The following is an 18,509-nucleotide window of genomic DNA, read 5'->3' as shown; positions in this document are numbered from 1 at the left end:
GTTACCTGGAGTACAATCATCTCTCTGGATTTCTATATAATTAAAGGAATTGCCATTCATGAACTCTAAAATTCTGTGATTTTTCTTTAATAGTTCTAACATACAAAGAAGACATATTTTACATATATATTTTTTCTTGCCTTACAAAGCAGCACGCTTTAAAAACAACCCATATGACCAACCTATGCTACTCATTCCAGACTTGAATGTACAAACTATTACTATTCATTTAAAACTCTGTGTTGAATTTAATAGCCACATTTCAATAACAACATTATAAATATAAATATGCCTGCTCAGGAGATTCAAGATGAGAAGTCTCATGGTAATCTTAATTGAGTCTCTCTTGTTTACCAGTAATGGTAAGTTTTCTCATTCTGGTATTCCGGAGAATAATATAGGATCATAACTAGAAATACAGTTGAGATTAGGTTAAATGTTACTTTATGACTTTTAACATCATAGCTAATGTCAATAAAATTAAATGCAGTGAATATAGTTATTCACATCTTTCTGTATTCACAAGTCTCATTTTTATATATTTATAACAATCACTCAACTCTGAAAATCAAGAATATGGAAAAATGTGATTGCTGTTTTAAAACAGATCACACATATGCATCTGTACCATATTTACCATTAAAATACGAGTAGCTTCTGAAATACTTTTAAACATATGATAATAAATTAGAGTTTGGAAAAATTAGAGAAGTTATTCAAGTTTGGAATTTCATATAGAAACAATATTCATTAAACTACATGTACTTGTATAGCTTGAGTATTCTGAAATTCTTCTGATTTTTATTATATCTGGTATATTGTGGGGCCCACACTTCTTGTATAAAAAATTATACATTTGAGCATACCATTGAACTTCAGCCTGGGTGACAGTGAGACCCTGTCTCAAAAATATATATATCACATATATAAAGGTTGATTCATTTATGCAGGTAGTATGTAAAATCTCTGCCATGGTTCTATTCTAGCCCTAAGTCTATAGATGGGTTTTATCTCTATCACATTACTTTATTAAATTAAGTAAAATTGATTCTAAAACAAGCAATAATAGAATAGTGGTTCTTAACCAGAGTTTTCTTTCACATTAGACTTATCAGATGTTTTAAAAAGATCAATGTCTAGACCTCATTCCTGAAATATTCTGATTTAATTAGTCTGGGGAGGAGCCAAGCACTGCCTTGGGGTAGGGAGGTGGGGGGTAAAGCTCCCACGTGCACCTGAAGCACAGCCATATCTGAAAACCAATCATGAAATGGTTAAGAACATTGATTTGGAGTGAGGCCACCTGACTTCTTCCTAGGCCTAGGTGCATGGCATAGGGTAAGTCTGATCCCTCTGTTTTTTTATCTATAAAATAGAAAATACCACTGACATGATAGCTGTGAAAAATATATGTAAAAGGATTAGGATAAGCGCTGGGCGAGGTGGCTTACGCCTGTAACCACAACATTTTAGGGAGGCTGAGGCGGGAGGATCACTTGAGGCCAGGAGTTCGAGACCACCTGGCCAACATGGGGAAACCCTCTCTACAAAAAAAAAAAAAAAACCCCAAAACCAAAAAACAAACAAAAAAAGGATTAGGATAGTGCCTGAAACACAGTAAGCGCTGAATATTATTATTATAGTAAAAAGTAACACATCATTTCTAATTTGAAAATTAAAAATGATGAACCATTCAAAAATTAAGTGCCTATTCTGCTCCCTCTTGACAGAAGAGAGTAAAGGAAATGTTTTCAATAGATTTGTGTACTCTACTCCGGTACATACAGATACAATTTTATTTCTGAGAGAGAAGCAGAATAATATCTGGAGTACCAGGTTGTCCAGGTTTATAACTGCCTGACATGAACTCTGTCAGTTCATGATGGCATCCTTTAGTGTAAAGAGATCTATCATCCTGAAATTAAAATCAATGCTTAAAGCATGCAGATTCTATAGACTACTATGCAAAGAAAATACTTTCATAGTATATGCAGCAATAAGCAGTAGAATGTAATTCTTATTCTATCTTTCCCAGGTAGTTAACTGACTAGGAAAGTGAGTACACTGTTCAACCAACACTTTACTCAATGACATACTAAAGCATAAAATTGGCCAAGAGAATTAAATTAGAAATATGATTGACTGAATAGTACTTAAAATTACTACTCTAGTGTTAAAATATACTTATTTTGCTTCAGGAAATGAAATTATCAACTATAATGGGGTTTGAAGGCCTAATGAAATCAGCAGAAACACACAATTGTGTATCATTTCTTGGCAATGAACTTTAAGAATCAGGTTGTATTACCAATTGTATTAAAAAGCCTGTATTTTCAGTTAACTCCAAGACCAACTTGGAAACTTAGAAGTAAGGAGAACATTTGGCTTTTACAAAGAGCCTCTAAGGTTTTTCTAAAATTCAAAGTTAACACCTTGTGAGAATACTAAAGAATTGTAATGAACCAAGACATCAGCTATATGTAAGATCTCCTTTAGATCAGCATTCAGCAAAGAGTACAGGGGAAAAATGACATCAGAACCTTTTATTACTTACATTTATAAACTTTGTTTCAAATCAGATTGATTTTTTAATAACCGGGACTCAACTTACATTCCAAGGCCCATTAATTATATATTTATTATATGTAGGAGGTATTTTATATTTTGTAATCACTTCTCATTCCATAAGTATGAATTAAATTGATGCCAACTTACAAATTAAGCCAAAAAGTTACTCTTTTGTTTTTGTGTAGTCAAAATAAGTACAGTGCTTCTTCCACAACATAATCTTGATATGCAGAACAACAGTGCTAATCATTATTGTTGATATGCTAACTACTCACTCTAAATCTGATATGACAATTAAAAATGAAAACAACTCACTTTTAATCTGATATGACAGTTAAAACTGAAAAGTGTCCTCAAAGCAATTTATAGACTAAAATAATGATTGTAAATCTTAATGGTAAAACTAAACAAAATAAATTGGATTGCACAAAATATTTTGTATCTTGCGCAAAAGTAGGTATCTCAAGAAAATCACTGTAATACAATCTTAATTTTTATATTGTCAAGTTTATTAAATGGCAAAATTTCCAGGAACATCAGTTTTTAAAAAAACAAAAAACAGAACATATTGTTCATGTTAAACTGCTCCTAAGGTATCCTACAATTGTGGTCTCCCAATAAGAGAGGCATGAAACAATCTGCTGACGTGTGGGGAAAAAAAATCAGTGCATTATACATATTTACCTTTTATCTTTAAAAACAAGTAAACTTTACTAACATTTAGGGAAAAAAGAACATTGGAACTTCTAATAAAAATTTCACTACAATTTTAAATATTCACTTAAATATTTACTAAGCATTTACTATGTTCAAAAGAGAAGGCAAAGCAAAATGCTATCAATGTTGTCAGTGCAACATTAGATAAAATTTAGCATTTCCTCTTTTTAAAAAAATTCTTGCTAAAGGAAAATGGTATTATAATGTCTTTAGGCAGAAACCAACATGGAATTTTAATCATTATAGTCACCTTAAAGTCTGTTCCATCTCCAATATTTACTACCTTATTAATGATGGTAATCGTTTCCACATCTCCCATGCTGGAACTTCATAAGAACTTTGCTGTTATCCTGATCTCCTCCTCCTCCCTCACCTCATACATCTAATTGGCCACCAAATGCTGTTGACTCTTCTTCAGCCCCTTTCCTCCAGTTCCTCTGACCTTGCTATGTCTCCTCATCTTTGCCCTATACCTGTGGTCTCCCAGTTAAGAGGCATGAAACAATCTGCTGACATGTAGGAAAAAATAGAGCAATTAAATATATTTATTTCTACATTTATACACACTTTTAATCTTTTAAAACAGGTAAACTTTAACAGTTTGTAGAATGAATTATATACATATATCACCTAGAAATATATAAACTTTTATTAGGGGTACAGATTCAAAATTGCTGACAAGGGTGTGGAATAAATCAAGTTTGAAAATCACAAGACTAGACTATTAACATGGCTACTTATCTTGCCCTCCTACTGCCTCTACTTCTGTGTCAACGTGAGTTATAGTTCTTAAATGTGAAGCTGGTCCTATCCTTTAGCTGACAAAAGATCTTTCCTTGGCTTTTCTTTCTCTTAGCAAAGCTTACAAGGACTCTTATGAAATAGTGGCCTTTTTTTTTTTTTTTTTTTTTTAAGACGGAGTCTCGCACTGTCGCCCAGGCTGGAGTGCAGTGGTGTGATCTCGGTTCATGCCATTCTCCTGCCTCAGCCTCCCGAGTAGCTGGGACTACAGGTGCCCGCCACCACGCCCGGCTCATTTTTTGTATTTTTAGTAGAGACGGGGTTTCACCGTGTTAGCCAGGATGGTCTCGATTTCCTGACCTCGTTATCCGCCTGCCTTGGCCTCCCAAAGTGCTGGGATTACAGGCGTGAGCCACCGCGCCCGGCCTAAATAGTGGACTTTCTAAATCTCCAGTCTCACTGTTTTCTTCTCTCCACCATTCACCCCTATACCCCAACCGTTCAATTTCTTACTGTTCTGTACACACCGGGCCCTTTCACAGCTGAATGCCCATATAAAGACTATTCCTTCTGTAAAGGCAGCAAGATGTAATCAGGTTCCTACAAAATATCTTTGTTGGCATGTAGACGCCATGGAAATTAGCTAGGTTACTTAATTTCTCTAAGCCTCAGATTCTGGCACCTTTAATAATGACAATGTCACCTACCTAAAGGACTGTGGTAATATTGGAAATAATAAAATCACCTGAACACATTTAATCATCATAACAATTCTATGAGGCAGCTATCCCCAATTTATAGGTGAGGAGATACAGATCGATTGAGTAGCTTGTCCAAGGGCACATAATTAAGTGGCAGAGCAGGGCTTCAACCTGGCTGCCCCAGAGTCAATGTTGATTATTGTTATGCTATCTGTTTCACTAAGTTTGGGTCTATCTCAACTCCAGTGTCTTTATTAGAGATGTGAGGAGCTGACTAGATGATCAAGTTCCTTCCAATCTAATATTCTGTTTCTAATTAAAGGCTTATGGCTCAGGCAAGAGCTTCACTGGGTCTGCCTTCTGTCAGTGTCACAAGGAGATAGTGTAAGGAGTGGTCCCTATGAGTTGATACTTCTTCTCAGAGGAACACAAAAGATAATGGGGGAGGAAAACTCCAACAGATTCCCTTTTCCTTGAACCTAGGTGACACCCTATTATTTTCCACCCAGTTACTATCAGAGTTTACTGGTTACCAGCATGACCAACAGCAAGAAGGGGAAGATGAGACAGTTTTAGCAGTTACTTCCTTTCCCCTTATTTCTACAGCAAATTTGAACTTCATGGCCTCTTTCCCACCAAAAGCCTATCACTAAATTTAGCATAATCTTAGTTTAATTATTCTTGGTTTTTATTTTTATGAAGAGTATCACACACTCTTCATAAACATTAAAAGCCTAACATAAAATTTAACAATTCAAAGAAAACACATTTTCAACATAGCTATAAAAATATATCCATTAAAAAATGGGCATATCATGAACAAAGGTCTTAATACTCAAAAAAATCTCCATTAAGCACTACACCATGCTAGGCACTAGTTTATTCACTGAGAGTAAAGCACTGACCAAAATATGGTCATTTACTCTTGTTGGAGCTAACATCATGGTAAATAGACAAACAATTAAGTGAAATATATATGCAGGTATGTTAAAAATTTTTGATTTGCTTATATTCTAAACTGAGCAATAATGGCTAAAACTGAGTTGTATATTTAAGTAGTTTTGAATTATGAATAATAACTCATAGCTATCACAGTATCTGCCATTGTTAAAATTGTTAACATTTTCAGAAAGAAGGGACAATAGCATTTACTGGATACTTATTTTGTGCTGTTAGACACTGGAATGTATGTATCTTAAGATGCTTTCTTGAAAGACAGGTAAAATGACCTTAGGGACATGAATTCTAGAATAGATCAATTTTAACCTATAGACTAACTCCTTTGTTGGAATAATATCTTTATATGCTGTAATTTTACCACCAAAAGGTCCTTCTAGGATAATAAGCGCCCTAGAACCATATAAAGAGAATATTTTGATAAACGCATCCAGATTCAAAAGCAGTGATTTTTCAAGGTGTGGTAGCTCTAAGTAGTATACCCATCATATCTGCTTTTACAATATAAACCCCCAAAAGAAAAGTGCCATAAAATCTTGGCTGATTTATCTAAAAAATAGAGGGTTAAAGCATAGTAAGGGCATAGGTCAAAAAAAGGTCAAGAAATAGAGCCCTAGAGATAAATACAAGTATGTTAAAATATACGTATAAAGGAATAGGAAGATGCCAAAAGCAGTCTGTTTCAAAAGTCTGCCTAGGGTCAACCCTAGACCCTGAAAAGACAAAATTAATACTTTTGATTTTTTTCTCCTAAGACCAAGGGAGGCTCAGTCCTAACACTAAAAGTTTAGCAATACGAATATTTATGAGTTAAATCACAGAATGAGTTAAATAGGCTTACATGCATTGGCTTGGGAAACTCTATCCACATAGTGTACACTGTTCCTTCAGGAAAATATAGCTTAAATTACAAGTAATCAATTTAGGGACTCTTGGAATACAACTCTACTCAGTAGTTGGCCTGAATCAAACGATTCCATTTATTTCATGATTACAATAATCAATGTTTCCACAATATCCTGCAAAATTGCAGAATTTTATAACAACTGCATAAGTGAACTGTGCCAAAGATCAATGATAAGTAGCTGACTGAAGTCTACATTTTGTGGCTTAACCAGCACCAGTTTGGCTACCATCAAGCAACGCTGGCAGAGCTGCTTAAGAAACTAATATTCCGACACTGCCATCTGTATTATATAAATGGCTATTTTTGTTCCTTGAACTTTATTTTGGGTATGATAATGTGGAAGAATGTAAGCTACCTCTTAGGGTACATTCTGATGATGTCAAGATGAGTGCTCTCATTCTGGATCTCTGAATTCTCCACACAGAGAAGAGCAGTAGTAGTTCCTATGGCTATTAGTTAGCCTGGAAACTTTACACATGTGACCAGTGTGACCAAGTTCCCTTCAGTCTTTAGGTCACTGGAAAAATCTAGTAAAAAATCAAAACGAAACGCCAAAAACCCATTCACTTGAAACAAGTCTCTCAATAGCTGAAACTTTCTTGACAGAGTGTTTTTGTCCTGGCATTACAATCCATACAGGCAAAGAAAAAAACCAATGTGCGATGCACATTGATAATACAAAATTATTTTATAGGTCTCAAATTATACATAATTCATAGCGAATAGATGTTAGGAACACACAAAAATGATGTTAGCAAAGTCAGAAAAAGAATACGTATATAAAATGAATACTAGAAAAATAATCAGCTCACCAGCACATCCCTCATTAGGGCAGCTATTCACTGCAGCTATCCCTCTCCCCTCCATGTCTATCCAGGCTCCTACAGATGTCTGAACTAGTTACTCTACCACAGAACAAATCTCTCCACAGCAACTGCAGAACATGTAGGTACTCCAAATCAAATCAATCCTAGTTGACTTCAAAATTATATAATTAATTCTGTTTTCATAATGATGAAAAGCTCTAGGAAAGCTATACAGCTTCCTTTTATGTCTTTAATAAAAAAACACCAATTTATGATTTATTGTAGAAAACATACATTATAGGAAAGAATTAGTATCTTTTTTTTGAGATGGACTCTTGCTCTGTTGCCCAGGCTGGAATGCAGTGACGTGATCTCGGCTTGCTGCAACCTCCACCTCCCAAGTTCAAGTGATCCTCTTGTCTCAGCCTCCTAATTAGCTGAGACTGCAGCTGCATGCCACCATACCTGGCTAACTTTTTGTATTTTTAGTAGAGATGGGGTTTCACTATGTTGGCCAGGCTGGTCTTTAACTCCTGACCTCAAGTGAGCTGCCCGCCTTGACCTCCCAAAATGCTGGGATCACAGAAATAATTAGTATATTTAAAAATAGCAAAACCCAGAGTTTGGGCCTTACATAAAGAAGAAATGAGTCAGAAACTAGCCTACAGTTTGAATGACATATATTAGTTCCAGAAATTGTAAAATTTCTGGACAACTCCCTCCTTTACACTTTTAGTATTCTAAACATCACTGTATAATAGTGTATTTATAATAGTGTATTATTTGTTTACATTCCTAATTACTCCCTACTACACTATAAATTCCTTAAAGACAGATATCACATATTATTCATCTCTATTTCTCCACTCTCCAGTACAATATCTGACATACAATAAATGCTCAATAAGTGTTCCTTAAATAAACTAGAAGTATAACCTCAGTTGAAATACATAAACCTCAACTCCCAATTCTAACACACCCATGTGTGCATAGTTACATATATAAAAGGGATAGGTGCTATTTTAATTTTCTCTTTATAAAGATGGTATTTGATTTGAGAACTAGAAACCTTGTATTGCATAACAGAGAGCTACACAGTTTTCCAGGGAGTAGTAACATCAACTTGATCTTAATCACAAAGTAATGCCTCTCAGCTAAATATGGTAGATATTATGAAACTGATGTCATGGGGCTTTAATTCTCAAACTGAGGTGATCTTGTAGAAAACAGAGAAATGTCTTAAATAATTCTGAAACCCATTCTATATAACTTCTAAAGAGATTTTAAAAAAATCACTATTAAGCAACATTCATCACCACTAATTGTTTGCCATGTGCCAATAAGTTGTGCTAAGCATTTTGCTGTATCTCATGTAACCTCAATGATATGAGGAAGGTATTATTACCCTATTTTACTAAGAAATATTTTTTAACTATTAGGAAAAAAACCTTAGCTTTAGAGATGATCTGAACCAATGTTCTCATTTTACATATTAAAAAAACAAGAGGATGAATATAAAGAAATTAGTGTTATGCAGGCAGATATCTGGTATGTAGGAACAAAAGGGCACAGAGGAAAATATACCAACAAAGGCAAACTTAGGAAAAGGTCTAATCTGTCTAAGAAATGGTCAGAATTCATCTTATTAGATAATTGACACAAACTAGGCTAGGGAAGGAGGTTTTGACTAAGCTGTGTATTAAATAATTGATATTTTTTTCCTGAAAGGATTAGGGAAACTAACAGGTGATAATAAAGGTGACTATTTTTATAGCAGCAGCTACCATTCATTAAATCTTTGAGAATTAATGCAGGTTTTATGTCCAAAACTTCCCAGGATTCAAATGCATTCCTATGGTCCCAAAGCCAGTGCTACTCTTAACTTCTATGTTACAATGTCTCCTGCAAAAGACCCTGGCAGGAGAGTGACATGATTATACTTTCTCATAATAAAATTGATTATACATATTTAGGAAAAAGAGCTATTATATATTAAAGAACATGCACTGTTTGAAACTTATGATGTAAGTGAAGACCTGTGAACTACAGAAACCACTATTCACTGGGAGGCCCTGAAGGCAATCTCACAACCAGTTAACCAAAATGGAACTCATTTACCATCCTCTCAATACATTTTCTTTTTGGTTCAGCATCTCTCAATTATCCACAGTATTAAAGAAAACAGAACTCCAGACTTAACTGTCTAGCTGTACTGCCACCATTATTTCTACTTTTCATTTTTACCCCAGTTACAAGTGTTAAGTAGCAAAAGTGGCCAACCTGAACTGTACTTAATAACAAAGAATATGAGTTTGGAATGAAGACAGACTGGTTTCTCCATTTACCACCTACACAACCTAAAACAAGTTACTATTATTTATCATTTCCATTTACCTTCAAAACAAACACTCCTACTGGAAGCAAGATGTTTTATTGTGAAACATCCACATTAAAAGGTTGTGAGGAAGTGATTAAAGGTGTTTATTCTCACAGGATGCTTCAGTGAAATGAAAATTTCCTAGTCTGACATTTTAAGAAATGGAGACTTCCCACATGAAGCCAAAGACACCTGGTACTATATTCAATATATCCTTAATGAAGGAAGGGGGTCCACAAGGCCTTCAGTAATGAAAGAGTCAACAAGAAAGGGGAGAACTGTTAAGATCTACCCACATAGAAAAGCAGAGGACAAAGTCCAAAGTAGCTTCCATTTAATATCTTAGAAGAGTTAGGTATAATGATAAGTAAAAGAAGTCAGACACAAAGAATATATACCACATTATTCAATTTCTATGAAGTCTAGTAACAGGGGAAATTAAATTATAGTGATGGAAGTCAGCAAAGTGGTTACTTTCAAGTGGAGAGAGGAAGGATACTATTTGGGAAGAGGCGCAAGGGAGCCTTGTGGGATAATAAAAATCTTCTATATCTATACTTGATGTAGGTAGTGGTTTCAGGAGCACACACATATGTAAAAATTCATTTGGCTGAGCACTTATGATCTGGGCATTTTACTTACAACAATACATCAATCATAGGGGATGGGGTCAATTCAGAACAAGGACCATAAAACTCCTGCAAGATTTTATAAACTGTCTAACTTTTTATAGTTTTACAATTTTGTTGCCATTGACCTATTTCTCTATGGTGACAAGCAGTAAATTTGTTATAAACATAAGTTCAGTGTTTCTTTGTAAGTAGCTAGGAAGGAAGAAGCTGGGCAGTCTATATGGCCTTCTGTAGCTAGGTCTTAGGGGGCTAGAAACAGAAAGAACCCAGGAAGTGTTGGTGTACACAAGTAGACACAAGGATAGAAGAACATGGAGAGACAGTTGGGCTTGATAGGAAATAAGAATCCCAGATGTTCTCAACAGTTAATAATTTATCTACATACTGTAATAAAATCCCTGATGTCCTGTAGATACTCACTAAGCTTTATAAACTTGGTTAAAAATACACTCACTTTTTCCAACAGAATTTTTAGAAATTATTTCCTCGCAAATCAATCTGATTATAAAATCTAACTTTAAGCTTGATTTTACCATGGTAAAGCTAACTTTACCATAACCATCATCCGCTCTGGACAATACCAAGGAAAAGACCTATGCATTATATGAAGTTGTACACACTCCATTTTATGGCTTTTATTAGCTGTTAGAACCATGCGCTGTGCTTCTCTGACACATTTATGGAAGATGTTTGTTAGAGTCACAAAAAAGGGGGTATGTGAAACCAATGAACAAAGAAACCTAGATTAACCAATCTTTGACAATGTCACCATTGAACAAAAGAAAAAAAAAAAGATGTAATGGTCTAAGACAAGGTATAATGAGCAAGGCCCATAACAAACCCTCTAAGTGGACAATTCCATTCTTACCTTTATCACGATCATAGAGCAAATCTTCTGTTGAGCAAGGGCTACCATCCTGGGATTCCGGGGGACAAAAAGGGGAGACACAGGGTGAATGACTGCTGCAGCTACTGCTGCGCTCCTGGACAGAAGGAGTCTGAGTGTCAATGCTGCGAGTACTACTGCTCCGGTAATGAGCAGGAAGTGGAGCTCTTCGACCATCTGGTATGTCCAACGGCTGTAAGAGGAATACCATTAAACATCCAAATGCTGGTGCATATATTCATCTACATAGAAAGCACATAGTATTTCCCTTGATTTCATATTCCACCACTACTGACCCAGTTTATTCTTCAAAGGCTAAAGACCAAGCTTGTGTCTTAAGCTAATTTCTGCGTATGTTACCTTTATTGAACTAAACATTTCTTTTAAATCAAATTGTTTGCCTTAAAAATTCCATAGCTCACTGTATGTACCTGTAGGTCAGCACATCCCACAAAACTCTTCAAGGACAGCGGGAGTCCTGTGCCTGGCACTACTCCTGGCACATGGCAGATATTCAGTAAACATTTGCTGAAAGAATTAACAAAGCTAAAAAAAAAATCACTTTGACTTGCTTGTAAGAAAAAGTGAAATCTCATATTCCTCATATTCACAGGTACAGATTTTTCTGTTTGTTCATTCCTTCCTAGTTTAATTTTTAGAGGTTATGAACAGAACCATAGTTTCTATTTCCTTTGCAAATTATCCAAAATTTCTAATAAAGAGGTTTATTCTATTAGTACTCAATAGAGTTTATTAATGTAACTCAAAAGAATTCTAATATTAGAAGAATTTGGATATCAAATTCTACTAACTCAGTATCCAACTAAGTAGGACTACTCATAATCTTCCTTAGTTTGAATACTTTGTTCTCAGTAGCAAAAAGAAGGAAAAAAAGGAAACCATCATCATAGAGCCACATATTTTGGTCTTGAGGGTACCTCAGAGCTCACTGGTCCATTGTTTTGTTTTCACAAATGAGGAACCTATAGTTCAGTGGCACAGCTAATTAAGTGGCATCAGAGATTCTGCTGCAGTGGACTCTTTCTACTTTACTACTCTGCTTCTGTAAAAATAGATCTTACTCCATATTCTTCATTTGTGTGCTAACAAAGTGAGGTTAACAAGTAAAATTCTCTATATTAAGTTATATAATTGAAAATATTTGTTGTTATTAAACACACAGGACTGCAGTGCTAGGGAAAAGAACCAATATGCTGTTAATTTATTTATAATTTATTTTCACTATTTATTGTGTCTACTGCTCTTACTCTGATCATTGTCATTTCAGAGATTTTAGAAAAACTGTCAAGAGGGGAAATGAAGGAAGGTAAAATCAGGTGAAATTCAAAATGTATCAATATTTTCTATACCAAACAAGTGAAGGCCGAAATCTGAAACTATGCAAATGAAAACTTCATTTAGAGTTCTGCCCCTGCTGCCCTTGGAGTAGAGAAGAAACAGAGAGGCCGAGGGCTTTACTTGCACTGCTAGCATGACATACTCACCATACAGAGAGGAGCCCATGTCCTCCCTGTGAGCCCTCGGCACCCCACCTTTCACCCGGTGGGGCTCCCGGCTCAGGCCAGCAGCACAGCTGCCCCACCCCCTGGCTGAACATCCCAGTAGCAACGGATCTGTGTTTCTGCAGTGGAGCTCCCAGAGGCAACCGAAAGCCCCTCTGCCACTGCCACTGCAGTGGTACTGCCCTTGCTACCCTTGTACTAGGAAAGGAGCAAAGACCCAGAGTGCTTTAACCACACCTCCAGCAAGCTGCCACGGCCCTAAGAAGAGGTCAGTCTGTCTCCCCCAGGATCCCCCCAGCTTGAGCCCACAACGCAGCTGTCCTACTCAAAGCCAATCACACCGACTGGCAGCAGTTCTGCTATTTCTCTGGGGTGGACCCCAGAGACAAGGGAAAGGCCCTCTGCCATAGCCACTGCCAAGGTCCCTTCCCCTGCTGCCTCCAAGCTGGGAGAGAACATAAAGCCTTAGCTCACCCCAGGGCTGCAGCCTGGGAGTGCCAAGCCAAGATCTGCAGCCAGCACTTGAGTAGGAGAGGAGCCCACACTTTCAGAGCACTGACAGGGAGCGCAGCTGCAATAGTGAGGAAATACAGAAGAGCCACGTGGCTGAGCAAGAGCTTACCTACTGGCCATTACGCTTAAGAGGCATCAAACTTCAATCAGAGTGCAAACTTCAATACTGAAAATACTTAGTTAATAAACCCTCCTGTGAAACTAAGGACAATAAGTCAGCTACAAATAAAAACCTTGTACAATGCCTCAGACTCTAAAAACATCCCGAAAAGTCAACCGACTGTACAAATTATACCATGGTTGAAGGAACATCAGCCCACACAGGTGAGAAAGAACCAGTGCAAGAACTCTGGCAACTCAGAAAGCCACAGCGTCTTCTTTCCTCCCACTGACCACATTAGTTACCCAACAAAGGTTCTTAAACAGGTTGGAATGGCTGAAATGACAGAAAGAATTCATAATATAGAAATGAAGGTCATCAAGATTCAGAAGAAAGCAAAAACCCAATCCAAGGAATCTAATGATTACCATAAAATAATACAGGAGCTGATTGATGAAATGGCCATTGTAAGAAGGAACCAAACTGATCAGAGAGTTGAAAAACACACTATGAGACTTTCATAATGCAATCCCAAATATTAATAGCAGAATAGACCAAGCTGAGGAAAGAATCTCAGAGCTTGAAGACTGGTTCTCTGAACTAAGACGAAATTTTTTTTTTCTTTTCTGAGATGGAGTTTTGCTCTTGTTGCCAGGATGGAGTGCAATGGCACAATCTCGGCTCACTGCAACCTCCGCCTCCTGGGTTCAAGAGATTCTCCTGCCTCAGCCTCCTGAGTAGCTGGGATTATAGGTGCCCACCACGATGACCGGCTAATGTTTTGTATTTTTAGTAGAGATGGGGTTTCACCACGTTGGCCAGGTTGGTCTTGAACTTCTGACCTCAGGTGATCCTGCCTTGGCCTCCCAAAGTGCTAGGATTATAGGCATGAGCCACCGTGCCTAGCCAAAATTTTTTTTAAAAAGAATAAAAAAGAATGAACAAAGCCTCTGAGAAATACTATGTAAAGAGACTAAATCCACGATGCACTGGCATCCCTAAAAATGATGAGGAGAAAGCAAGCAACTTAGAAACCAGATTTCAGGATACCGTCCATGAAAACTTCCCCACCCACACTAAAGAGGCCAACATTCAAATTCAGGAAATGCAGAGAACCCCTGCAAAATACTACACAAGAGGACCATTCCCAAGATACATAATCATCAGATTCTCCAAGGTTGGAATGAAAGAAAAAATGTTAAAGGCAGCTGGAGAGAATAGGCAGGTCACCCACCTACAAAGGGAACCCCATGAGGCCAACAGAAGACCTTTCAGCAGAAATCTGGCAAGCCAAAAGAGATTGGAGCCTATTCCAAGCGAGAAGTGGCTATCTAGTCAAACTAAGCTACATAAGCACAGGACAAATAAGATCCTTTTCAGACAAGCAAATGGTAAGAGAATTCATTACTACCAGACCTGCCTTACAAGAGGTCCTGAAAGGACTGCTAAATCTGGAAAGGAAAGAACGTTATCAGCCACTACAAAAACACAATTAAGTACACAGAACAGTGACACTATAAAGCAACTACACAATTAAGTCTGCAAAGTAACCAGCTAACAACACAATGAAGGATCATGTACATATCAATATTAACCTTGAATGTAAATGGATTAAATGTCCTAATTAAAAGGTGCAAACTGGCAAGCTGCATAAAGAAGCAAGACTAAACAGTAGGCGTCTTTAAGAGACCAGGCTCACATGCAAAGACACCCATGCGGTCAAAATAAAGGGATGGAGAAAAATCTACCAACCAAATGGAACACTGAAAAAAAGCAAGATTGCTATTCTAATTTCAGACAAAACAGACTTTATACCAACAAATATCAAAAAAGACAAGGTCAGTATATAATGGTAAAGGATTCAATGCAACAGGAAGACCTAACTATCCTAAATATATATGCACCCAACACAGGGGCACCCAGATTCATAAAACAAGTTCTCAGAGACCTACAAAGAGACTTCGATGTCCATAAAATAATAGTGGGAGACTTCAACACCCGACTGCCAGTATTAGCCAGATCACTGAGGTAGAAAATTAATGGAGATGTTCAGGACCTGAACTCAACACTTGACCAAATGAACTGAATAGACATCTACAGAACTCTTCAACCCAAAACAATAGAATATACATTCTTCTCATTACCACATGGCACATAATATAAAAACAACCACACGAATGGACATAAAACAATCCTCTACAAATTCAAAAAAACTGAAATCATGCCAACCACACTCTTGGACCACAGTACAATAAAAATTGAAATCAATACTAAGAAAATTGCTGAAAACCATATAATTACATGGAAATTAAACAACCTGCTCCTGAATGGCATTTGCGTAAACCATGAAATTAAGGCAGAAATCAAGAAATTCTTTGAAACTATGGGACTAAAGATACAACATACTAGATTCTATGGGACACAGCTAAAGCAGTGTTAAGAGGGAAATTTACAAGCTCTAAAGGTCCACATAAAAATCCGATCTCAGATAACAAACTAACATCACATATAGAGGGACTAGAGAAACAAGAGCAAACTAACTCCAAAGCTAGCAGAAGACAAGAAATAACAAAAATAAAATCAGAGCTGACCTGAAAGAAACTGAGATGCAAAAAACCATAAAAGATTAACGAATCCCTGCATTAATTCTTTGAAAGAATGAGAGAGACTGCTAGCTAGACTAATAAAGAAAAAAAGATCCAAATAAACAAAATCAGAAATGACAAAGGGGACAGTACCACTGACTCCACAGAAATATTAAAAAACCCTCAGAGACTACTATGAACACCTCTGTGCATACAAGCTAGAAAATACAGAAAAAAACAGGTAAATTCCTGGAAACATACAAACTCCCAAGACTGAACCAGGAAGAGAGAATCCCTGAATGGAACAATAATGGTTCTGAAATTGAGTCAGTAATAAAAAGCCTACCAACCAGAAAGAGCCCTGAACCACATGGATCCACAGCCAAATTCTACTAGCTGTATAAAGAAGAGCTAGTACCATTCCTACTGAAACTATTCAAAAAAATTGAGGGGGAGGGACTTCTCCTTAACTAATTCTATAAGGATAACATCATCCTGATACTAAAACTTGGCAGAGACATGACGATGACAACAAAAACTTCAGGTGAATATCCTTGATAAAAATAGATGCAAAAATCCTCAACAAAATACTAGCAAACCAAATCCAGCAGCAGATCAAAAAGTGAATCCACCATGACTAAGCAGACTTTATCCCTGGGATGCAATGTTGGTTCAACATATGCATATCAATAAATGTGATTCATCAAATAGAACTAAAAACGGAAACCACATAATTATCTTAATAGATACAGAAAGGGCTTTCAATAAAATCCAACATCCCTTCATGTTAAAAACCTCCAACAAACTAGGCACTGAAGGAACATACTTCAAGATAAGAAGAGCCATCCAAGAAAAACCCACAGCCAACGTCATACTGAATGGGCAAAAACTGGAAGCATTCCCTTGAAAACTGTAATGAAACAAGAATGCCCTCTCACCACTCCTGTTCAACATAGTACTGGAAGTCCTGGCTGGAGCAATGAGGCAAGAGAAAGAAATAAAAGACAGCCACAAATAGGAAGAGTAAAGGCACATGATCCCTGGTTTTAGACAATATGATTCTATACCTAGAAAATCCCATAGTCTCTACCCAAAAGCTCCTTGATCTGATAAACAACTTCAGCAAAGTTTTAAGAAACAAAACATACAAAAATCAGTAGTGTTTCTATATACTAACAATATCGAAGCTGAGAGACAAATACAGAACACAATCACATTCACAATAGCTTAGGAATACAGCTATCCAAGGAAGGGAAAGATCTCTAGAATGAGAATTACAAACCACTGCTCAATGAAATTAGAAATGACAGTATCAGATAGAAAAACATTCCATGCTCATGAATAGGAAGTATAAATATTGTTAAAATGGCCACACTGGCCAGGCGCGGTGGCTCACGCTCATAATCCCAGCACTTTAGGGGGGCCGAGGTGGGCAGATCACGCGGTCAGGAGATCGAGACCATCCTGGCCAACACAGTGAAACCCCGTCTCTACTAAAATACAAAAAAAACCAAAAAATTCGCTGGGCATGGTGGCACACGCTTGTAGTGCCAGCTGCTCGGGAGGCTGTGGCAGGGGAATCATTGGAACCTGGGAAGTGGAGGTTGCAGTGAGCCGAGACCATGCCACTGCACTTCAGCCTGGCGACAGAGCAGCAAGACTCTGTCTCCAAAAAAATAAAAATAAAATAAAAAGCCATACTGTCCAAAGCAATTTCCAGATTCAATGCTGTTCCCATCAAACTTCCAATGATGTTCCTCACAGAATCAGAAAAATCTATTTTAAAATTCATATAGAACCAAAAAGGAGCTTGAACAGCCAAGGTAGTCCTAGGCAAGAAGAACACAGCTAGAGGCATCACATGACCTGACTTCATACTATATTACAAGGACATAGTAACCAAAACATGGTACTGGTACAAAAGCAGACATATAGACCAATGGAACAGAAGAGAGAGCCCAGAAATAATACTGCACACCTGTAACCATCTGTTCTTTGACAAAGTCGAGAAAAATAAGCAATGGGGAAAGTACTCCCTATTCAATAAATGGCACTGGGATAATTCGCTAGCTATATGCAGAAGACTGAAACTGGATACCTTCCTCACACCATATACAAAAATAAATTCAAGATGGATCAAAGACTTAAATATAAAACCTGAAACTATAAAAACACCAGAAGATAACCCAGGAATTACCATTCTGGACACAGGACCTGGCAAAGATTTCATAATAAAGATGCCAAAAGCAACTGCAACAAAAACAAAAATTGACAAATGGGACCTAATTAAACTAAAGAGCTTCTGCACAACAATAGGTTTCAACAACAGAGTACACAGACAACCTACATAATGGGAGAAAATGTTTGCAAACTATGCATCTGACAAAGGTCTAATATCCAGAATCTAAGAAATGAAAACAAATGAACAAGCAAAAACCAAAGAATCCCATTAAAAAGTGGGCAAATGGCCAGGTATGATGTCTCATGCCTGTAATT

General features: G+C 36.9%; 1 protein-coding gene across 1 annotated transcript in view; it reads right to left on the bottom strand.

Moving 5' to 3' along the window:
• The window catches only part of GLCCI1 (glucocorticoid induced 1), a 120,285-nt gene that overhangs the window by 6,675 nt on the left and 95,101 nt on the right, over window positions 1-18,509 (bottom strand). Inside the window, exon 6 of the mRNA NM_138426.4 lies at window positions 11,275-11,485. Coding sequence (NP_612435.1) covers window positions 11,275-11,485 — 211 coding nt within the window. The remainder of the gene's footprint in view (window positions 1-11,274; window positions 11,486-18,509) is intronic.

This window comes from Homo sapiens, chromosome 7 (assembly GCF_000001405.40).
Source record: "Homo sapiens chromosome 7, GRCh38.p14 Primary Assembly".
Lineage (NCBI taxonomy): Eukaryota > Metazoa > Chordata > Mammalia > Primates > Hominidae > Homo > Homo sapiens.
The sequence above is the reverse complement of the archived record's forward strand: the minus strand, read 5'-3'. Positions and strand labels throughout refer to the sequence as shown.